General features: G+C 38.4%; 1 protein-coding gene and 1 pseudogene across 3 annotated transcripts in view; one reads left to right on the top strand and one right to left on the bottom strand.

Annotated features, from left to right (window-relative positions):
* Positions 1-10,739, bottom strand: part of CLCA4 (chloride channel accessory 4) — a 33,677-nt gene extending 22,938 nt beyond the window's left edge. For 2 of the 3 annotated variants that reach the window (NR_024602.2, NM_012128.4), the window contains exon 1: positions 10,539-10,739. Coding sequence is in view for 2 of the 3 variants with exons in the window: in NM_012128.4 (NP_036260.2) it covers positions 10,539-10,697 (159 nt within the window). In the remaining variant the exon portion in view is untranslated. Of the gene's footprint in view, positions 1-8,525; positions 8,549-10,538 lie in introns of those variants that run through there. The other variant, XM_011541015.3, reaches the window with a different exon arrangement.
* CDCA4P2 (cell division cycle associated 4 pseudogene 2) lies at positions 4,259-6,501 on the top strand (annotated as a pseudogene).
* Positions 10,740-24,788: the final 14,049 nt, after the last annotated feature.

Genomic DNA, 24,788 nt, shown 5'->3' with positions numbered 1-24,788 from the left:
ACTCCCACTCAATAATAGTGGGAAACTTCATTGAGGCAGAAAATTAACAAAGATATTCAGGACCTGAACTCAACATTGGACCAAATGGATCCGATAGACCTATACAGAACTCTCCACCCCATAACAACAGAATATACATTCTTCTCATCACCACATGGCACATACTCTAAACTCAACCACATAATTGGACATAAAACAATTCTCAGCAAATGCAAAAGAACTGAAATCATACTAAACACATTCACAAACCACAGCACAATAAAAATAGAATTCAAGAGTAAGAACATCACTAAAAACCATGCAATTACATGGAAATTAAACAACATGCTCCCGAATGACTTTTGTTTTGGTAAATAATAAAATTAAAGCAGAAATCAAGATGTTCTTCAAAACTAATAAGAACAAATATACAACATACCAGAATCCCTGGGACACAGCTAAGACAGTTTTAAGAGGGAAATTTATAGCATTAAATACCCACATCAAAAAGTTAGAAAGATCCGAAATTAACAACCTAACATTACAACTGAAGGAATTAGAGGAGCAAGAACAAATCAACCCCAAAGCTAGCAGAAGACCAGAAATAATCAAAATCAGAGCTGAACTGAAGGAAAATGAGAAAATGAGACACAAAAAACCACTCAAAAGATCAACAAATCCAGGATCTAATTTTTGAAAAAATTTATAAGCTATATATGCCACTAGCTACCAGCTAGACTAATAAATAAGAAAAGAGAGAAGGTCCAAATAAACAGGATTGGAAATAATGAAGGGAATGTTAATGCTGACCCCTCAGAAATAAAAATAACCATCAGAAACTACTATGAACACCTCTAAAGACACAAACTAGAAAACCTAGAAGAGATGGATAAATTCCTGGACCCATACATCTCCCAAGACTGAATCAGGAAGAAATTGATTCCCTGAACAGACCAATAACAAGTTCCTAAACTGAATTAGTAATAAAGAGCCTACAAACAACAAACAAACAAACAAAGCCCAGGATCTTATGGATTCACAGCCAAATTCTACCAGATGTACAAAGAAGAGCTTGTACCATTCCTACTGAAACTATTCCAAAAATTTGAGGAGGGAGGGATCCTCTCCAACTCATTCTATGAGGCCAGTATCAATCTGATATGAAAACCTGACAGAGACCCAACAAAAAAAGAAAACTTCAGGCCAATATCCTTTATGAACATTGATGCAAAAATTCTCAACAAAATACTGGCAAACCGAATCCAGCAGCTCACCAAAAAGCAAATCCACCATGATCAAGTAAGCATCATCTCCAGGACGCAAGATTGATTCAACATACACAAATCAATAAAAGTGATTCATCACATAAACAGGACTAAAGACAAAAACCACATGATTATCTCAGGAGATGGAGAAAAGGTTTTCAATATAATTCAACACCACAATAACGTAGGTATTGAAGGAAAATACCTCAAAATAATGAGAGCCATCTATGACAAACCCATAGCCAACATTATACTGAATGGGCAAAAGCTGGAAGCATTCTCTTTGAAAACTGGCACAAGACAAGGATGCTGTCTCTCACCACTCCTATTCAACTTAATATTGGAAGTCCTGGCCAGAGCAATCAGGCAAGAGAAATAAATAAAGGGCATCCAAATAGGAAGAGAGGGAGTCAAACTATCCCTCTTTGATTATGACATAATTCTATATCTAGAAAACCCCATAGTCTCAGCCCAAAAGCTCCCTCAGCTGATGAATAGCTTCAGCAAAGTTTCAGCATACAAAATCAATGTACAAAAATCACTAGCCTTCCTCTACACCAATGACAGCTAAGTCCAGAGCTGAATCGAATAGGCAATACCATTCACAATTGCCACAAAAAGAATAAAATACCTAGGAATACAGCTAACCAGGGAGGTGAAACATTCCTACAATGAGAATTACAAAACACTGCTCAAAGAAATTGTGTCAGAGAAGACACAAACTAATGGAAAACATCCCATGCTCATCGATAGGAAGAATCAATATCACTAAAATGGTTATATTGCCCAAAGCAATTTATAGATTCATTGCTATTCCTATCAAACTAGCAACAACATTTTTCACACCACTAGAAAAAAACTATTTTAAAATTCATATGGAATAAAAAAGAGCCTGAACAGCCAAGGCAATCTTAAGCAAAAAGAACAAAACTGGAGGCATCATGTTACCTGATTTCAAACTACACTACAGGGATGCAGTAACCCAAAGAGCATGGTACTGGTATAAAAACAGGCCTAGACCAACAGAACACAACAGAGAGCCCAGAAATAAGGCTGCACATCCACCACCATCTAATCTTCAACAAAGCTGACAAAAACAAGCAATGGGGAAAAGATTCCCTATTAAATCAATGGTGCTGGGATAACTGGCTAACCATATGCAGATTGAAGCTGGATCCCTTCCTTACACCATGTATAAAAATCAACTCAAGATTAAGATTAAAGACTTAAATGTAAAACTGAAAACTATAAAAACCCTAGAAGACAGCCTAGGCAATACATCCTGGACATAGGCAAAGATTTTATAACAAAGATGCCTAAAACAATTGCAACAAAAGCAAAAATTGACAAGTGGAATCTAATTAAACTTAAGAGCTTGTGCACAGCAAAAGGAACTATCAACAGAGTAAACAGACAACCTACAGAATAGAAGAAAATATTTGCAAATTATGCGTCCAACACCGGTCTAATATCCAGCATTTAAAAGGAATGTAAACAAATTTACAAGAGAAAAACAAACAATGCATTAAAAAGTGGGCAAAGGACATGAACAGATGCATTTCAAAAGAAGATAGACATGTGGCCAACAAGCAAGTGAAAAAAAGCTCAGTATCACTGATCATTAAAGAAACACACACACAAAAAAACCCACCATGAGATATCATCTCATACCAGTTAGAATGGCTATTATTAAAAAGTAAAAAAAAAAAAAACCAGATGCTTGCGAGGTTGAGGAGAAAAGGGAACACTTATACATTGTTGATGGGAGTGTAAATTAGTTCAACCACTGTGGAAAGCAATATGGTGATTCCTCAAAGAGCTAAAAGCAGAACTACCATTCAACCCAGCAATCCCATTACTGGATATACACTCAGAGGAATATAAATCATTCCACCAGAAAGACACACATGCACTTGAATGTTTGTAGCAGCACTATTCACAATAGCAAAGACATGGAATCAACCTAAATGCCCATCAATAACAGATTGGATTAAAAATTGTGGTACAGGGCCGGGCATGGTGGCTCACACCTGTAATCCCAGCACCTTGGGAGGCCGCGGTGGGCAGATCACTTCGGGTCAGGAGTTCGAGACCAGCCTGTGCAACATGGTGAAACCCCATCTCTACTAAAAATACAAAAATTAGCTGGGCATGGTGACAGAGGGAGACTCTGTCTCAAAACAAACAAACAAACAAAAACTGTGGTACATATACACCATGGAATACTACACAGCCATAAAAAAGAATGAGATCATGTCTTTTGCGGGAACATGGGTGGAGCTGTAGGCTATTATCCTTAGCAAACTAACACAGGAATAGAAACCCAAATACTACATGTTCTCACTTATAATGGGAGGTAAATGATGAGAACTCATGAACACAAAGAAGAGAACAAGAGACACTGGGGTCTACTTGAGAGTGGGGGTGGAGGTTGGGAGGAAGGAGAGGAACAGAAAGATAATATTGGGTACTAGGCTTAATACCTGGTGATGAAGTAATCTGTACAACAAACCCCCATGGCATGAGTTTACCTATGCAACAAACCTTCACATGTACCCCTGAACCCAAAATAAAAGTTAAAAAAGAAAAGAAAAGAAGACACTATGGGTCATACATTGACACACAAACTTTTTTTTTTGGACAGAGTCTTGCTCTGTCTCCCAGGCTGGAGTTCAATGTCTCAATCTTGGCTTACTGCAACCTCCGCCTCCCGGGTTCAAGCGATTCTCCTGCCTCGACCTCTCGAGTAGCTGGAATTACAGGCGCCTGCCACTGGGCCCAGCTAATTTTTGTATTTTTTAGTAGAGAGAGGGTTTCGCAATGTTGGCCAGGCTGGTCTCGAACTCCTGACCTCAGGTGATCCACCCGCCTCAGCCTCCCAAAGTGCTGGGATTACAGACGTGAGTCACCATGCCCGGGCCGACACATAAGCTTTTTATGGGAAGTAAAACTATGGCTAGTTTCCTAAGCAGAGTTGATTGTTTTAAAAGGGTAAAGGCCCCGCGCTGGCGGGCGCTCCTCCCTGAGCGGCGGGAAGCAGGCGGCAGCGGCGGTGGCGTCGGCTGAGCAGAGGACCCAGCGGGCAGACTCGCGGGTCGGACAGGATCGTCGTGACAAAGGCTTCGACAGCTTGCTGGAATAGAGGATCTCTGCTGCCTCGCCTCTTCTGTGGCCTTCGTGTGGGATGCACGAGACGGCAGGACCCAGATAACCGTTCTCTCAAAGACACAATGTTTGCACGAGGACTGAAGGGGAAACGTGTTGGCCACCAGGAAGACGTGGAGGGAGCCCTGGCCGGCTTGAAGACCGTGTCCTCGTACAGCTTGCAGCGGCAGTCCCTCTTGGACATGTCCCTGGTGAAGCTGCAGCTTTGCCACATGCTTGTGGAGCCCAACCTGTGCCGCTCAATCCTCATTGCCACGTGGTCCGGCAGATCCAAGAGGAGATGACGCAGGATGGGATACGGCGCACACCCCAGGCTGCAGGGTGGGCGCCGCTGGACCACTTGGTCTTCATGGAGATTCTGTGCCGCGCGGCGTGGGAGCAGGAGGGGGCACGTCCTGCCTCTGGCTTGGGAGACGGCCACGCACAGGGCTCAGTTTCTAACCTTTGCCCAGTCACCTCAGCACAGACGCCGAGGCACCCGCAGAGGGAGGAGCGTCTGGGAGATGGATGGCCCTCAAGAAAACAGAGGAAGCTTTCGCAAATCACTCGATCAGATATATATGAAACGCTGGAGACTAAAATCCCCCGCTACATGGAAGAGCTGTTTTCAGGCGTGGACAGCCCCTACTACAACCTGGACACAGTACTGACAGGCATGATGGGGGTGCCGGGCCGGGCCCCTGTGAAGGGCTCGAGGGCTTGGCTCCGGTCACCCCGTGCCCCAGCTCCATCTGCAAGTCCGATCTGGGCGAGCTGGACCACATGGTGGAGATCCTGGTGGAGACCTGAACCAGAGCCCTGAGCGCTCGCAGCTGTGTCTGACGCGTGGACACGTGAGCACTGGCTCCCGTAGAGGGTGCGCCTGCCGCCCGCTGCCCAGCCTTGCTGCCCTGTCTGCTGATTCTGAGAAATCCCAGAACAGACCATCATCAGCAGGGTCTGCAACCCCAGGCCCGTCCCACTCACTTTCCCCGCTGTGGAGGGCCAGGCAGAGATGGCTGTTCTCCTGGAAGACTTCTCCTCTCTGGACCGGTCCTGACGTCCTTACAGCCCTGGGCCCTTCGTCTCTCTTTGTGTCCCCCACTGTAGAGGACGGCGAACCACAGCTGCATCAACCTCCTTTACATTCAGACAGGTGATTTTTTTACAATTCAGTTTTAAGTGTTTTGGGCAATATTTTGTCTTAAGATACATATTTTTAAACTTTTTATACCTTATGTCTTTAGATTTTTTCAGCTATTTTCTTAAAAGTATATTTTTTCTATAAATATCCTTTGCTGCGACATTAGAACTTTTATAGCCTGAACAATTGTAGTTGGTGTGTTTCATTTTTTTCAGGTTTAAATAAGGGATTTTTTTTGCAGTGGGCATCACTACGGTCCTTGTCAACAGTGTGAGTGTATCATGTTTTACTTTAAATGTGCGTGCAATACTTCTCCATTATGTTCTGTGCTACCGTGAGACCTGGGTGAAACTCAAAAACCGCACACAGCTACTACATTTTTTTTGTCATTAGAAAATCTACTGTGGGAGCCACATCTTCCTAGACTTGAGCATAAATTATGGAGAATTTTATTTATGTCTATTTATGTGTAAATGTCATTGAAGGCAAAGGTCAAATATTTGTCTGTTTGGAGATCACGGGCACCAGTTGGTCTTCAGGACCTCAGAGACCCTCCGTGGTGCCTTCTGACAGGCGGTGTTCCTGAAGGCCTCCCGTCAGCCCAGGCACCTGCCCTGGCTGAGGAAATAGCATTGCTACTGGATTAGAAATGCCTGTGCTGCTCTGTTAGATTGGTGCTGGAACAAAAGGTTAAGGCTGAAGTCTAGAATGAAAGAAATCCGAATCCCTGTCATTCATGGCCCCTTGATCTGTAGGGTCATAGGTGCTGCCTCAGGGAGTGAGCTGGAGGTGCCTGCAACCTTCCTCTCCTGCCCCGCCTCACCCCTCTTGTGTTTCCTGTTTCTCATGCTTTTTCTAACTTCCTCACCCCTTAGCCAAAAAGGTTTGTTTTCTTTTGTGGATACAGCCATTCTTAAATATCAGTGATGTAAACCTCACTTTATTAAAAAATTATCCATCAAAACAAAACAAAACAAAGGTAAAGAAAATAGACAAGGCATAAGGATTTTTAAAGTTTTGGGTTTTTTAAAAGCAAGAATTGAAATAAAAATAACATAATGAACGAATATAACAATGATTAGCTAAACTATTAATATTTGGTACACAAACTCATTTTGGATAAAAACTGCATTTTCTTAAACATTAAAAAAAGAGGCTGGGTGCGGTGGCTCACGACGGTAATCCCAGCACTTTGGGAGGCCGAGGCGGGCGGATCACGAGGTCAGGAGATTGAGACCATCCTGGCTAACACGGTGAAACCCCGTCTCTACTAAAAATACAAAAAATTAGCGGGGCGTGGTGGCAGGCGCCTGTAATCCCAGCCACTCGGGAGGCTGAGACAGGAGAATGGCGTGAACGTGGGAGGCGGAGCTTGCAGTGAGCCAAGATCGCACCACTGCACTCCAGCCTGGGGGACAGATCGAGATTCTGTCTCAAAAAAAAAAAAAAAAGAAATGATCCCTCCCTAGACCTTATTATCTCATGAGGAAATATAAGGATGAAAGGCACTTTTTTTTAATTTTATTTTTATTTTTATTTTTTTGAGACAGAGTCTTGCTCTGTCACCCAGGCTGGAATGCAGTGGCATGATCTCAGCTCACTGCAACCTCTGCCTCCTTGGTTGAAGCGATTCTTACCTCTGACTGTGATACTTACTATGATCTTAGAAAAATCATTTTTTTTTTCGGACCCCTAGTTTTTTCTTCTGTAAAATGTGGATTATAGTATTTCATAGGGTTTCTTGAAGATATTAAACGCGAAGATTTTGTGAAGGGCTGGGAGAAATGTCAGGAAACATTGTAAAATCTGGGCATGCCTGTAAACAATTGAATTTCTGCTTGTACTTATAGAGGACCATGTTTACAAAATTTTTGCCCATCCAAGTAATTCTTTCAAATAGTGATGTCTGAGTAAGAAAAGTTTGATACTGATTTACTGTCCTCTGGACACTAAAAACCTATCATTCAGAATTAGCTGCATTAACTGTTCTTTAAACATCTTTAGTAAAATGAATTATTATCTTCTCATGAAATTTAAAAGGTACCTATAAGCAAATATCTTTGTGATGTAACAGAGTTTATAGAGAGTGAATGACAAATGGCAGCCACAAAATCACTTGATTACAACTTAGTTCATGCCTATCACCTTCTGCTGGGTAATTAAAACATGCAGAAGGGTCCAACCATAAGCAGCAGAACACAGTAGTGGAGAAATTAAATATAAAGAATTAGTATATGTTGATATCAGGGAGAGGGAAAAATAATTTACGTGGCTACACCACCAAACTCTATATTACATAGAATGTTATATTTGAAAGAAACAGAAATCAGTGTCCTTGGTTTAGTCCTGGAGCCTTTCTCTTCTCCATCTGTACTTGCCTAGTTATCTACACCCAAATTTTCATTCTTCATCATGAATTCAGATTCCTGCCTCCATCTACATGGATGTTTTCAGAAGTAACATAAATTCCAAAAGCCCCAACCAACTAACTCTTGATTTTCCAAATGCCAAATTTTCTCCACTTACAGTCTTCCCCTTCTCAATCCAAGTGTTCAAGCAAAACTCTTGAATTCTTCCTTGACTCTTATTATATTTCCTTCCTACCCTCACCTATCCCCTATACATCTTAACCACCATATCACTTTAACAATCTTTACCACAACCTCCCTGTTCCTAGTCACCATCACTGCCCACCTGCAAGAGTTTCCTACCTGGGGTCCTTCTACACCAGTAAGCTGCCACAGAGTTTATAGAGGATGGGTGACAAGTGGAAATTCTTTACAGTCCTTAATATTGCAGTCAGAGTGATTCCTGAACATGCATGAGAACACACCCTTCTCTGCTCAGAATCCTCCTATGGATTTTCATCACAGAGTCAAAGTCAAAGTCTTTCTGGTGGTCTAGGCCCTGCCACCTCTCTAACTTCAGCTCACCCTATGCTTCCTCCTGCTCATTCATAGCTGTTTCCTTGGTTACATCAAACGAATTCTCACCTCCATGCTGTTTTTCTCCCCTAGTTTTCAATGGGCTCTTCTCTCGCTCATCTCAGGTCTGTGCTGACACATCATCAGTGAGGCCTTCCCTGACTTCCCTCATGAAATAGCAACCCACATTCTCCCCCAATCCAGCCCCACCTAACACTCCATATCCCCCTTCCTGATTTGTTTTACTCCACAGCAACCTACTACCACCATCTGACCTGTGATCCATTTACTTATTAACTATATCTCTGAAAAGAAGATACACTGCATGGTGCCAGAGGCTTTAAAAAAATTTTACTGCTCTTTAGCATGTCATAAACATTCAACAAAGAATTCTTTAAAGAACAAATGAGTCCAACTGCTAACTTACAGATCAAGAAACTCAGTGTCAGGGAGCCCTGTGCCTTGTCTTCTGTCTTGTGGTGACACAGTGTAGAACCCTGTCTAAAACCTTCATCTCCCTCTGCCCATTACCATATTGTCCTCACTGCACCACACTGCTTTTAACTTCCTGAAGGACTCAGAAGTTTCCATAATAATTATTAACTATTAACTTTGTTTTCTTCTCCATAATTCAAACAGAAGACATCCCAATTCTTTTTTTTTTTTTTTTTTTTTTCCAGAGAGGGAGTCTTGCTCTGTTGCCCAGGCTGGAGTGCAATGGCGTGATCTCAGCTCACTGCAACCTCTGCCTCCCGGGTTCAAGCAATTCTCCTGCCTCAGCCTCCTGAGTAGCTGGGATTACAGGCATGTGCCACCATGCCCAGCTAATTTTTTGTATTTTTAGTGAAGGCGGAGTTTCAACATGTTGGCCAGCCTGGTCTCGAAATCCTGACCTCATGATCTGCCCTCCTCGGCCTCCCAAAGTGTTCAGATTACAGGCATGAGAGCCACCGTGCCTGGCTGACATCCCAATTCTTGGGAAAAATATTTGCAAACTATTCATCCAACAATGGATTATTATCCAGAATATACAAGAAACTCAAAAACCTCAAAGACAAAGTAATAATAATAATAATATTTTAAAATGGGCAAATGATCTGAATAGACATTTCTCAAAAGAAGACAAACAAATGTCCAACAAGTATATGAAAAAGTGGTCAACATCATTAATCATCAGGGAAATGCAAATCAAAACCAGAATGAGACACCATCTCAGCCCAGTTGGAATGGTTATTACCAAAAAGACAAAAAAAGTGCTGACAAGGATGTGGAGAAAGAGACCTATTATATACCATTGGTGAAAATGTAAGTTGATACAGCCATTATGGAAAACAGTATGGAGGTTCTTCAAAAATCTAAAAATAGAATGACCACATGATTCAGCAATTCCACTAGTGGGTATATATCCAAGGGAAAAGACATCAGTCTGCACTTCCATGTTTATTGTAGCACTATTCATGATGGCCAAGATGTGAAGTCAACCTAAGTGTCCATCAAGAGATGAATGGATAAAGTGTGGTATATAAACACAAATGAATACTACTTAGTCACTGAAAAAAATGAAATTGCTTCATTTGTGGCAGCATGGATGAGCATGGAGGACATTATGTTAAATGAAATAAGCCAGGCACAGAGAGATAAATACCACATATTCTTATGCATATGCAGGAACTAAACCAGGGTATCTTATGGAGATAGAGAGTAGAATGATACTTATTAGAGGCTGCAAAGGATAGGGGAGAGAAAGGAAATGAAGAGAAGTTTGTCAATGTGTACAAAAGCACAGTTATGTAGACAGAATAAGTTCTAGTATTTGATAGTACAATAGGAAAATTAAAGTTACTGATAATCTGTTGTGTATTTCAAAGTAGCTAGAAGAGAATAATTATAATGTTCCCGACACAATGCAAAGATAAATGTTTGAGTTGCTGAATATGCTAATTACCCTGATTTGATCTTTACAAATTGTATACATGTATAGAAATACTACTTTGTATGCCATAAATATGTACAATTATATGTCAATTAAAAATAATAGTAAAAAACTAAAAATTAATGAAAGATATTCCATTTTGTTCTTACCTCTATTTGTTCAATTATTTTTTCATCTTCTGGCACACTAGGATCTATAACAATGACAATATCTTCAAAGCCATTATTATTCAGCTTAATGAAGGAAGTATTTGACTGGTGCAGCAGGCACAGAACTAAGAGGAAAACAAAACCTCTGAATAACCCCATTGTTCCTCTCTAGTTATTCCTGGCTCAAATGTTGGTTTGTTCAAGAGGCTTTTCTTTTCTTTCTCTTTATATACGTTCCTAAAACTTACCAGTATTGGCTGATTATGGGATGTTGACTGTATAAAGGTACATTACATGAGAAAATACATGACTAATTCACCTGATTGCTTAATTATATGTTACATAAAAGTGACTAAGAGTCAGAATAAATCAGATCATTTTATAAAATGCATTGCACATTTTCCTGTTGGAACACGTTTTCTTTATTGTTGTCATTGTTGATATTCTAAGGGCTCCTTGACAACAGGGATTTTTTTTTTTCAATAGGTTTTTGGGTAACAGGTGGGGTTTGGTTACATGAATAAGTTCTTTAATTATAATTTCTGAGATTTTGGTGCACCTAACCACCCGAGCAGTGTACACTGTACCCAATGTGTAGTCTTTTATCCCTCACCTCCCCCTCCTATCCTTTTCCCCGAGTCCCCAAAGTCCATTGTGTCGTTCTTATGCCTTTGCATCCTCATGGCTTAGCTCCCACTCATGAGTGAGAACATATGATGTTTGGTTTTCCATTTCTGAAATTGGCTGCTGCAAATGCCATTATTTCATTTCTTTTTATGGCTAAGTAATATTCCATGGTGTGTGTGTATGTATGTAGGTATATGTGTATATATATATATCACATTTTCTTTATCCACTGGTTGATTGATGAGCATTTGGGCTAGTTTCATATTTTGCAATTGCAAATTGTGCTGCTATAAACGTGTGTGCAAGTATCTTCTTCATATATGACTTCTTTTCCTCTGGATAGATACCCAGGAGTGGTATTGCTAGGATTGCTGGATCAAATGGTAGCTCCACTTTTAGTTCTTTTTTTTTTTGAGATGGACTCTCACTCTGTTGTCCAGGCTGGAGTGCAGTGGCGCGATATCGGCTCACTGCAACCTCCGCCTCCAGGGTTCAAGGAATTCTTCTGCCTCAGCCTCCTCAGTAGCTGGGATTACAGGCGTGTGCCACCATGCCCGGCTAATTTTTGTATATTTGTTTGTTTGTTTGTTTGTTTTTTAGTAGAGATAGGTTTTCACCATGTTGGTCAGGCTGGTCTTGAACTCCTGAACTCGTGATCCACCAACCTTGGCCTCCCAAAGTGCTGGGATTACAGGTGTAAGCCACCACACCCAGCCCACTTTTAGTTCTTTAAGGAATCTCCATACTGTTTTCCATAGTGGTTGTACTAGTTTACATTCCCAGCAGCAGTGTAAAAGTGTTCCCTTTTCACCACATCCATGCCAACATCTATTATTTTTTGATTTTTTGATTATGGCCATTCTTGCAAGAGTAGGGAGGTATCGCATTGTAGTTTTGATTTGCATTTTTCTGATCATTAGTGATGTTGAGCATTTTTTCATATGTTTGTTGGCTGTTTGTATACCTTCTTTTGAGAATTGTCTATTCATTTCCTTAGCCCACTTTTTGATGGGACTGTTTGTTTTTTTCTTGCTGATTTGTTTGAGTTTGTTGTAGATTCTGGATATTAGTCCTTTGTCAGCTGTATAGATTGCAGAGATTTTCTCCCATTCTGTGGGTTGTCTGTTTACTCTGCTGATTATTTCTTTAGCTGCACAGAAGGTTTTTAGTTTAACTAAGTCCCAACAATTTATCTTTGTATTTGTTGCATTTGCTTTTGGGTTTTTGGTCATGAAGTCTTTGCCTAAGCCAATGTCTAGGAGGGTTCTTCTGAAGTTGTCTTCTAGAATTTTTATGGTTTCAGGTTTTAGATTTAAGTCTTTGATCTATCTTGAATTGATTTTTGTATAAGGTAAAAGATGAGAACCCAGTTTCATTCTTCACCATGTGGCTTGCCAATTATGCCAGCACCATTTGTTGAATAGGGTGTCCTTTCCCCACTTTGTTTTTGTTTGCTTTGTTGATGATCAGTTGACTTTAAGTATTTTGGTTTATTTCTAAGTTCTATATTCTGTTCCATTCGTCTATATGCCTGCTTTTACACTAGTACCATGCTGTGGTGGTAACTATGGCCTTATAGTAGAGTCTGAAGTCAGGTAATGTAATGCCTCCAGGTTTTTTCTTTTTGCCTAGTCTTGCTTTGGCTATGCAGGCTTCTTTTGGGTTCCATATGAATTTTAGGATTGTTTTCCTAGTTCTGTGAAGAATGATGGTGGTTTTTGATAGGAATTGCATTGGATTTGTAGATTGTGTTTGGCAGTATGATCATTTTCATAATATTGATTCTATCCATCCATGAGCATGGGATGTGTTTTCATTTGTTTGTGTCATGTATGATTTATTCAGCAGTGTTTTGTAGTTTTCCTTGCAGAAGTCTGTCACCTCCTGGGTTAAGTATATTCCTAAGTATTTTAATTTTTTTGCACTATTGTAAAATGGGTTGACTTCTTGATTTGATTCTCAGCTTGGTCACTGTTGGTATATAGGAGAGCTACTGATTTGTGTACGTTAATTTCGTATCCCAAAACTCTGATGAATTCATTGACCAGTTCTAGGAGCTTTTTAGATGAGTCTTTAGGGTTTTCTAGATATATGATCATGTCATCAGCAAACAGTGACAGTTTGACTTCCTCTTTACCAATCTGGATGCCCTTTATTTTTCTTGTCTTGTTGCTCTGGCTAAGACTTCCAGTATTATGTTGAATAGAAGTGGTGAAAGTGGGCATCCTTGTCTTGTTCTAGTTCTCAAGGGGAATGTTTTCAACTTTTCCCTGTTCAGTATAATGTTGGCTGTGGGTTTGTCATAGATGGCTTTTATTACCTTAAGTATGTTGGGGACACATTTTCTATACTTTCTAATTTTGATGAATTTCCTAAACATAGACATATACTTTATATTTTCTGTAGAGTAGAATGTGAAAATTAATAAAAATCCATAATAAAATGAACAGATACAGTAATACTAATGTCTTCTATTTTTACAAAGCAATTTATCAGCATTACAATGGTATAAATAATGGAAGAGATAAGATAGTTAAATGTAAATAACAGCAAATTAGTTAAGATGGGTTTGAGGTCCAAATTAAAGATTTTAAAGACTTTGATAAATTTAGCAATCAAATTATTTACCTAAAAAATACTGTCCAGTAAAGAAATAATAAAATTTATTTCCATACAAGCACATCAAAAACTTTATCTGGTAGTTTGCTGGTTACTATTGAGGCAGAGTGAATCACATTAATAGTTTACATTTATTCAGTTCTTACCAGAGCACAGATTGTCTCACTTAACCCTCACTGCAACTCTGTAAGGCAAGTATGCATATTACCTTCATTTTATGTATGGAGGAACTGAGGCACACAGATTTAAGTAACTTGCCAATATCACATGGCTAGTAACTGGTAAAGTCAGGATCTGAACCCAGCATTCTTATCCCAGAGCCCATGGATTTAATCTCTCCATCACAAGGCAATGCTGTTTTGCTAGGCAAGTAATGTAGTAAGTTTTTATAAAAAGGAGCAGCTCTGGGAAACTGTGATTATCTGGAGTGAATAGACTGGGTATTAACAAATACATCCTATGCAGTCTTGCCCTCACTGACCCTCCCTTCCTCCTGCTCCCTGCTTCTCCCTGAACTCCAGCTTTGGTGGCTCCAAGAAAACCAAGCATGATCCCATCCCATAGAACTTGTGTTCAGGAAATCCCTTCTGACTCGTTGACTAAATGAATAAATGAATGATTATCATTTTAACCAAAATAACAGCTTATCACAATGCCTAAACAGAAGCTTGTCCAAGGCCTTTGAAATGTTGAAGAAGCCTGATGGACTTAGATCCCCTCTATTGTTTGCGGGAGTATTTATTTTGAGGAGGTGCTATTATAACCTTAAAAAACTCAGGAAACTCTGAGTTATACATTTGGGAGAGAATTCCTCTTTGCCAAAGCAGTTAGAAGAAGCTCCCCTCAGGCAATGAGCACATGCAGCCTGGTGAAAAAAGGTGCCTATTTATAACAGTCTCTCCCTACTTTTTCCTGGTGTCACAGGAACCTCGACATTGGAGACAAATGTATATCCTTGTCTTGTTTTCCATCTATCCCCCTGGTTGAGTTTCTAATACTCTTCTAAAAGAGGAAAGTGGGAAGCTGCTCTGGTGGCCTCAGAGACACCCCCTTCCATTACTAGTCTACATAATACAGTTTCCAGGTCAGCTGGTCCAGCTATAAGGGCCACTGCCTCCATCAACCCAACCTCAGGTAGACATTCCAGCAGAAGCTGGCTTGTCATAAATCAGAAAAGACTGTGCTAAGTGAGTCAAACCTAGATTCAATTCAACTCAGGCAAACAGGCTCACTTGAGTCACTCAAAAAGTATGAGTTTCCTTGTCTGTCACTGGGTCAAAAAAGAGTTACAAAAAAATCAGTTGTTATGTATTTGTTTAGTGTGTAATAGAAAAATGTATCCAACATAACAAGCTTGTGTTTTCACAGATACTACTATCAGAATAACACCATATTTGTTTTTCTCTCTTTTTTATTGAGAAATAGTAATTGTACATATTTATGAGCTTCATGTGATATTCTGGTACATGCATAACGATGATCAAATCAGGGTAATTAGAATATCCATCACCTCAAATATTTATCTTTTTTTGTGTGTGTTGGAAACATTTTAAAGCTTTTTTTTTCCTAGCCTCAGCCTCCCAAATAGCTGGGATTATAGCTGTGCACCATGCCGGCTAATTTTGTATATTTAGTAAAGACAAGGTTTCACCATGTTGGCTATACTGGTCTCAAACTCCTGACCTCAGGTGATCCATCTGCCTTGGCCTCCCAAAGTGCTGGGATTACAAGTGTGAGCCACTGCACCAGGCCTCTAGCTCTTTTGAAATATACAATAAATTATCGTTAACTGTAGTAACCCTACTATGCTGCTATTGAACATTAGAACTTATTCCTTCTACCTAACTGTATGTTTGTACCCATTAACCAACCTCTCTTCATCCTCCCATGTTCCCACCCTCTGGTAATCATCATTCTACTGTCTAGCTCCATTAACAATGAATTCTCCAGAGAGAGTCAGGACTTCTGATTTCCATGGCAACAGAGAGGTCTCCTGTCACTGGACTTTTAAATCATGAGTCAATTACATGCTAAGAGAGTAATAGTCATTTTCTTTATGAGAAAATTTGGATTCTTACTGAGGTAGATGTGTGGTCGATGATTTCATTTTTTATTTCTGGAAGAAATAATATGTGTAAACTTTTTATTTAAAAAAATGAAAAGAGCCTCTTTTTGAACTGAAAAACTGAGTTACTTATCCTTATACAATTTTCTGAAGGCAACATTGGATTTTAATTATTATAAGCTATACACTATCAACACAGAACCTGAGATATAAATAAGTTGGAATTTATTATGTGAGGCTTAGTTTCTTCCTCTTTCCTTTTGGATCTCTCTATCTGTAGTGTGTGTATTCCTTGTGCTCTGGATTCCTTGTGCTAAGCACATGTGGTTCAGGGTCATGTCTTGCCTTCTAGAGGCAGATCCAGAAACCAGTCTCTCTTTCCTATTCCCAGTGCCAACTTACGTGAGGTTGGGATTCCCTTTGCACCTAGTCAGATGCAGGTATCTTTGAAAGAGGGAGTGTCTCTATGAGCTCTACGCTTGGAGAGAAGCATTAGAAATCCCAATTGTGACTTGAGGTCAAGCCATACTTATTAATTTAGCTTCAGCATATATGGAGCTAATATTTTTATAATCTGTCTGACTCCTATGTCAATTTCCAAATCAGTTCCAAACTCTGAAAAGGAAAATGGCAGGGTTTGCTGTGTTTCATTTTTGTTTTTGCCATTTTATTTATTCATTTATTTATTTATTTATTTTGAGACAGAGTCTTGCTCTGTTGCCCAGGCTGGAGTACAGTGGCACGATCTCGGCTCACAGCAACCTCTGCCTCCTGGGTTCAAGCGATCCTCCTACCTCAGTCTCCCAAGTAGCTGGGATTACAAGCATCTGCCACCACACCTGGCTAATTTTTGTATTTTTACTAGAGATATGGTTTCACCATGTTGGCCAGGCTGGTCTCGAACTCCTGACCTCAAGTGATCCGCCTGCCTCGGCCTTCCAAAGTGCTGGGATTACAGGGATGAGCCACCATGCCTGGCCCTGTTTTTACCATTTCAATATACTAAATACACTAAACAGGAAACAATGTGAAGTCACCTATCTTTGTACATTCTTGGGAATCCCACCATTAAGGATTTCTCATTGGCCTGCCTTTCTTCCTACTTAGTGTCCAGTTTTCCCCTCGCCTTCCCTCATTCTCTGATTTTTACCCCTTCCTTCTAGGATTGTTAAATTTCTGGAAATCCAAATACTTTCTCTCTGTTCTACAAAGTAGTGCTTCAGCTCTTTCCTGCTCCTACTCCCAAACTTGCACATTCAAACCCATCAAGGGGAGGTGATAATATGTATAAAGAGCAATATAGTCTTACATGAACAAAGGGAAATTTACAGGTTCTTTATGTATAGATAAACTGTTGGAGATTATTCCATTCCACAGTTAGAGAACTGTGCTCTGTTTAACCTCTCTGCAGATTAACAAAATGGTATAAAACCCTCATTTCATCTCATAACTGGACAATCTGGCAGTCTTCTTAAAGATTTCTTAGCAATATCTTCCAGTCCAATCTTGCACAACATCAAATTATCTAATGTATAATACTAACTTTTCTTTCTCAAGTTCTTCAGGAGTTCATCATTACCTTCAGGTTGGCACAATCCTTTACTTGCTATTCAGAATTCATCATAATGTAGTTCCAGATTATAATTTCTAGTTTTATCTCCCAATATTATCTATGATAAATCTTTTTCTCTAGTCAAAATTTGTGGAAAATTATTTTTACTTTCCACTATTATCCCCTTGACCATACTCATTTTTCTAATTCTATCCAGCTTAACTTCTACTTCTTTATGAAGACTCCCCTGAGCAATTCAGCCAGTCATTTCACTTCTCTGAACTTTTGTACCCTTTTTACCATAACAGGAAATCTTCTAGATCCAGGATTTAGGAGTTGAGATTTTGAATATCCATATGAGAGAATTTTCTTGCTGGAAAATACCTTAGAGACCATCTAATTCAACCACTGATGTTACAGATGAGAACACTGATGTCCAAGGAAGGTAACTGACTTAATGGCAAAACTTAAACTGGAGACATTTGACTTTTAGCCCCATGTGATCTCTTCTCATGGCTTCCTGCTCACCAGCGCTGCACCAACCTCTCCTTACTCTCTCTAGCTGCTGCTTCTGCTGCTGCTATTTGTACATCAGCTGTGCCCTGAGCTTAAGGCATCCCTTTCTTCTTAGAAGCTGTAAGCTTAGCGGATGCTACAGAAATATTCTAACATATGGCTCTTACATTTAAATATTTCTCTTTGTATAATCAGAAGAATTGAAAAAGCCACAAGGAGAAATAGCCTTTGAACAAAATTGCTTTGAAGAGAGTTTGTCCAAAGAATGTTATGCCAGGAGAAAGTACTTATAGATTTATCAATTCATAGTCTAAAATCCATTCTTTTTTATATATAAGAAATCCTACAAAGATTGGGGAGAATTAATATTTACAGAGCATACTGAGTATGTCTGATATTCTGATAACTATATAACTATGTCTGATATTCTTATAACTATATTCTGAGAGTTACCTGGTAACTCTCAGATATTTTGATAGTTACTTTACATGAACTTATTTAATTTTCATAATCAGTCTTTGAGATAGGTATTATCATCCCCTTTCTATAAATGGTGAAATAGATACTCAGAGATATTAAGTAAATTGTCAAAGTTTGTATAGCCAGGAAAAGGGAGGAGATGGGATTTGAACCTATGTGTATTTGTCTTTATGCCATGCAATGGGTAGTTATGTTTTGCCTGGTTGGTTATACCTTGGAGTATGGTGCACTGCCCAAATCCCCTCATATCTCTTTGAGTGTTCCTGTGTGCTTCTTCTTTCTGCATAACATGCATTTGCTTGCAAAGGCCCATACCTGCAACTTTTCTTTGGAGGACAGCCTTCAGACTATGAGAGCTATTTTACCCACTTACATAGAGAGCCAGAAGGTACTTTACATCCTCTGAAGTGGTACATAGCCAATGACTGACAGTTCAGCGATATGAAATCTGAATGCCTTCACTTTGGGTTGGGACCAGTTCTGAGGTGTAACGTACACACTACAGATCCCTGTGGACAAGCTTGATGCTGCCCCCGTGGGACTTTGCCTGTACTCATATCCCTGCTTGGATTCTTCTCTTGTCCACTTCCTCCCGTACCCTTTTTTTTTTCTTTCTTGAGAACTTATTTGGCGAATTACTTGTACATAAATCCTTGTCACAGGACCTACTTCAGGAAAACCTGCTTAAGATAGGGTGTCATGTCTTACAAATAATATTTATTAAGCACTTATTGTATGTATGCTAAGCACTATGTTACATTATTTATATGTATTAACTTTTTTAATCCGCACAACAACCTCAAGAGCAGACACTATTTCTCATTTTACAAATGAGAAAACTCAGCTTTAATAGCTTGCTGAAAGTCACACAGCCATTGGGTGTTAGAAGTAAACTGAAACACTGGTCCGTCTCCAAGTCACACTTATAACCCCTATGCTGCATTCCTTGAAGATACGTCATTTTCCCTGGTAAGGAGACCAACTTATGGTCAGTCAGCCCCTCTATTTGAGGAAGAATATTAAAATAAATGATTAAAATGCCAGTGCAAAAACCAGATTCTGACAAATTTTACAATTTTCTTTTTTCTAATGCAGAAGCTTTTAACTTTTGTTACTGGGGAGCAATAGAAATCTTGTCTGGGAAAAACAAATTTAGCAGGTCATATAGTGATTATACTAATTCCTTACATGTTTATGGTGTATTTCCTTTGTGATAAGCTGAGAAAATAAAAAGTTGTTGCCCTTAAGGAATCCATAATCTCGTGAAGGCAATGTCCCAGTGAAGACCTATGATATAATCTCATAAGTGCCATAATAAAATTATATGATAGCAAGGAGGAAAGAACAAGGAATCATGACCCTAGGGATTCCCTGGGTGAGTCAGGGCTAGTGATGGAGTGAGAAAATGATGATATTTCAGCTAGGTCTTAAAGAATTGGTAGAATTTTAATATTTTATTTTACTCTGTTATTTTTATTTTATTTTACTATTGTATTCTATATTTTATGAAGGAAGAACACATACCAGAATTGTGTTCAAAAGCGATGTCAAAATCACAGAGGTAGAAAATGTCCTATATTTCTACTTCTAATTAAACTTCCAACACGAAGAATTAAAAAATATGTATTTTATATATATATATATATATATATATATATATATATATATGAGACACTTAGAACACTGCCTGTCACATAGTAAGTGTTCAACAAATAGAGGCTGTTATTATTATGTATGTGAATTGGGGAAGTAGATTCCTGACATTCTTTTAACATTAAAAAAATACTACATTATTTATGAAAAAGCTGGGGATCAACTTCTCATTTCCCATTTCACAGGTAAGGAGCTTTGAAGTTTCTACTCCATTCTAACAAGTAAAATGTTGAACACACTGAAAAATCAACAACTCTTCTTAGATATCTAAGAGAGGTGAGGACACAGGGCACAGGGCAAACTGCTGCCCCCAAAATAGGAGCAGACAGGTGAATACCGGATCTTAGCTTACTGGTGTATAGACTTAGGAGTGGAAACCACCATGAGAACCAGTGCCAAGGCAGGAAATCTGAACTGTAATTGACTACTTGCTGGAAGCTCAGTGTGGACAAGTCTGAGAGTTAAAAACTCCAGGGTGAGCCAGCCATGGGCGCGCGGCAGGGCAGGTGCAACATTTATGTAAGTTTTACCTCCAGAAGCCTGACCAGGTTCTCATAGTAAATACTAGAAACAAACAAACAAAAACTTTATGCTTCCAGTAGCAGGAGGGGGAAAAACTATTTAAAAATATGTCAGAGCACTCTGTTCTTAACAAGGCCTGCTCTCAGGAAAAGCTATTTAACCAGAGCCTAACCTGCTGGGGTTTCTTCAGAGCCTAACTGACTTGAAGGAAGGGAAATACCCAGCTCCAGCCAACTGTAGCCATCCTGTTCCATCTAAGGAGGGAGAAAAACCTGAGACACATTTGTAACATTTTCCAGTCCAGAGGCATAGGCTCACCGAAAGACTAATCATAGGATGATAGGACATTTTCGCTCTGCCCCCACCCCCGACCTTACCACCACATTTTTACAGGTCTACTTGTGGCAGTTCCTTTTACTCAGTACATCATGTTCAGCTACCAAGAAAAAATTACAAGGCATACTAAAAAGCAAACTACAATTTGAAGAAAGAGAGGAAGGATCAGAACCAGACACGGCAGGGATATTGGAATCAGACCAGAAATTTTAAACAAAAATGATTAATATACTAATGGACAAAGGAAATAGCATGCAAAACCAGATGGGCAATGTAAGCAGAGAGGTGGAAATCCTAAGAAAGAATGAAAAAAAATGCTAGAGATAAAAAAACATTGTAATAGAAATGAAGGATACTCTGGTGTGCCTACTAGTAGATTGGACACAATTTATGAAACAATCACTAAGGTTGTGGCTATATCAGTACAAACCTCCAAAACTGAAAAGCAAAGAGAACAAACAATGAAAAAAAATAGAAAAGAGTGTCCAAGGATTGCAAGACAACTACAATAGGTGTAACATAGGCATGATGGGAATACCAGGAGAAGAAAGAGAGAAAGGAATAGAAGTCATATTTGACACAATAAAGACTGAGAATTTTCCCAAATTAATGTATGGATCCAGGAAGCTCAGAGAACACCAAGTGGGATAAATGTTAAAAAAATTACACCTAGGCTTATCATTTTTAAACTACAAAAAATTAAAGATTAAAAAAATTCTCAGTGAGGATTTTACCTATAAACAAAAAATTACGTTTGACTTTCCTCAGAAGCCATGTAATCAAGAAGAGAGTGAAATAAAATATTTAAAGGGTTGAGACAAAAAAAACCCCCATCAACTCAGAGTTCTGTACCCTGTGAAATTATTCTTCAAAAATGAGGGAGTAATCAAGAGTTTCTCAAACAAAAATTAAGGAAATTTATTGCCAGCAGTCCTGCCTTGCAAAAAATGTTTTAAAAAGTTCTTTAGAGAAGAGGAAATAATATAGGTCAGAAACTCAGATCTTTATAAAGAAAAGAAGAGCACTAAAGGAGGAATAAGTGAAGATAAAAACTTTTATTTATCTTATTTTCAGTTGTTCAAAAGTAATAGTAACAATAGATTAGATTATGTATGCTTATGGGTATATATTATATATCATTTATATAGATAGATGTATGCTATATCTATCTACATATGTAGATATAACATATATCTTTTTACATATCATATATATGTGCTTATATGTGCTTATATTTTAATGAAATGAATGACAGCAATGATACAAAAAATGGGGCAGAGGAATTATAATTATTTTGTATTATAAGGTACTCACACTACCTGTGAAGTGATGTAGTGTTATTTGAAAATGGAGTTGGGTTAGTTGTAAGTGTATATTGCAAATTCTAGAGCAACCACTAAAAAAAATAAAAGAATCACAATGTATAATGCTAAGAAAGAAGAAAAAATAGATCATATAAAATCCTCAGTTAAAACCACGAAAGGCAGGAAAAGAGAGGAAGACAAAAATAGCAACAAAAGAAAACAAATAGAAAAATAGCAAGGAAAACAAATAGAAAAATAGTAACAAATATGGTAGACAGTAATCCAACTACATCAATAATCACTTTGAACATCAATGGTCTAAATGTACCAATTAAAAGACAGAGATTGTCAGAGTGAATCAAAAAACAAGATCCATCTAGATATTGTTTACAAGAAACTCCCTTTAAATATAAAGACACGTAAGCTTAAAAGTAAAAGGATAGAAAAAACTTAGGAAACTAGAAAAAAAGGGAAAATTTAATCTAAACTGTGCAGAATAAAAGAAATAAGTAGAACAAAAAACAATAACATTTAAAACAGGACATTAATAGAGAAAATCAATGAAACCAAAATCTGGTTCTTTGAAAAGAACAATAAAACTGATAAGTCTGTAGCCAGGCTAAGAAAAAAGAGAGAGGACATAAATTGCTAACATCAGAAATTAAATAAAGGATATTACTACAGATCCCATGGACCTTAGAAGGATAATAAGGAAATACTATGAACAGCTTTATGCCCACAATTTGATAACTAGATGAAATGGACCAATTCCTTGAAAGTCACAGTCAGCCAAGACTCACACAAGCACAAATGGACCATTGGAATAGGCCTGTATCTGTTAAGGAAATTGAATCAATAATTAATAACTTCCTACAGAAAGCAACAAGTCCAGATGGGTTCACTGGTGATTTATACCCAACATTTAAGAAAGAAATTAAACCAATTCTTAACAATCTCTTTCAGAGGATAGAAGCAGAGGGGTCCAACTCATTCTATGAGGCAAATGTTATTCTAAAACCAACACCAGACAAAGACATTATAAGAAAAAGACAATTACAGACCAATATCTCTCATGCAAAAGTCCTCAACAAAATATTAGTAAAGTGGATCAAAAAATGTATAAAAAGAATTACACACCATGACCAAATAAGATTTACCCTAGGTTTTTATCCCTTTATACAAGGTTGATTCAACACTGGAAAATGAATTAATCTAATCATCACATCAATAGGATAAAATGGGAAAATCACATGATCATATCAATAGATAGAAAAAAGGATTTGACAAACCAAACACCCATTCATGATAAAAATTCTCAGTAAACCAGGGATAGAGGAGCATTTCCTGAACTTGACAAAGAATATCTACAAAAAAACCCACAGCTAAAATTTTCCTTAATAGTGAGAAATCAGAGTTTTTCCTCCAAGATCAGAAACAAGGCAAAAGTGTCCCTCTCACCACTCCTCAACAACATACTGGTAATTCTAGTTAATGCAATAAGAAAAAAAGTGGGTGGGGGGAGGGTGCGGGAGGGAGAAATAAAAGATATACAGATTGGGAAGGAAGAAATAAAATTGCCATTGTTCACAGATGACTTGAGTGTCTATGTAGAAAATTTGAAAAAGTTGACAAAAAATTCCGGGAACAAATAAATAATTACAGTAAAGTTGCAGGATCCAAAGTTAATATACAAAGGTTAATCACTTTCCTATACACCAGCAATGACCAAAAGGAATTTGAAATTAAAAACACAATATCATTTACATTAGAACTGAAAAAAAGAAATAGATATAGTCTACCAAAATATTTATATGATCTATATATGGAAAGCTACAAAACTCTGATGAAAGAAATCGAAGAAGAACTGTAATGGGAAGATATTTCATGTTCATGGATAAGAAGATTCAATATTGTCAAGATGTCAGTTCTTCCCAACTTGATGTATAGATTCAATGCAACCCCAATCTAAATCCAAGCAAGTTAGTCTGTGGATATCAGCAAACTCATTTTAATGTTTATAGGGAGAGCCAATACCCTGAATAGTCAATATAATATTGAAGGAGAAGAACAAAATTGGATTATTGACACTACCTGACTTCAGGACTTACTACAAAGCTATAGTAATTCAGACAGTGTGATACTGGCAAAAGAATAGGTAAATAGATCAAGGACACGAATAGATAGCCCAGAAATAGACCAAGAAATATGCTTAACTGATCATAACTGATGACAAGGGAGCAAAGGAAATACAATTAAGTAAAGATAGTTTGGTGCTAGAACAACTGGACACCCACATGCAAAACAAAAGAGAATTTAGTCGCAAACCTGACACCCTTCACAAAAAAGTTAACCCAAAATGGATCACAGACCTAAATGTGAAATGCAAAACTATAAAACTCCTTGAAGATAACATAGGAGAAAACTTAAATGACCTGTATATGGTGATGACTTATTAAATACAGTACAAAGGCACAATTCATGAAATAAATCATTGATAGGCTGTATTTCATCAGCATTTAAAACTTCTGCTCTGCAAAAGACAATGTCTAGTGAATAAGAAGATAAGCCAGAGATTG

Source organism: Homo sapiens, chromosome 1 (assembly GCF_000001405.40).
Source record: "Homo sapiens chromosome 1, GRCh38.p14 Primary Assembly".
Lineage (NCBI taxonomy): Eukaryota > Metazoa > Chordata > Mammalia > Primates > Hominidae > Homo > Homo sapiens.
The sequence above is the reverse complement of the archived record's forward strand: the minus strand, read 5'-3'. Positions and strand labels throughout refer to the sequence as shown.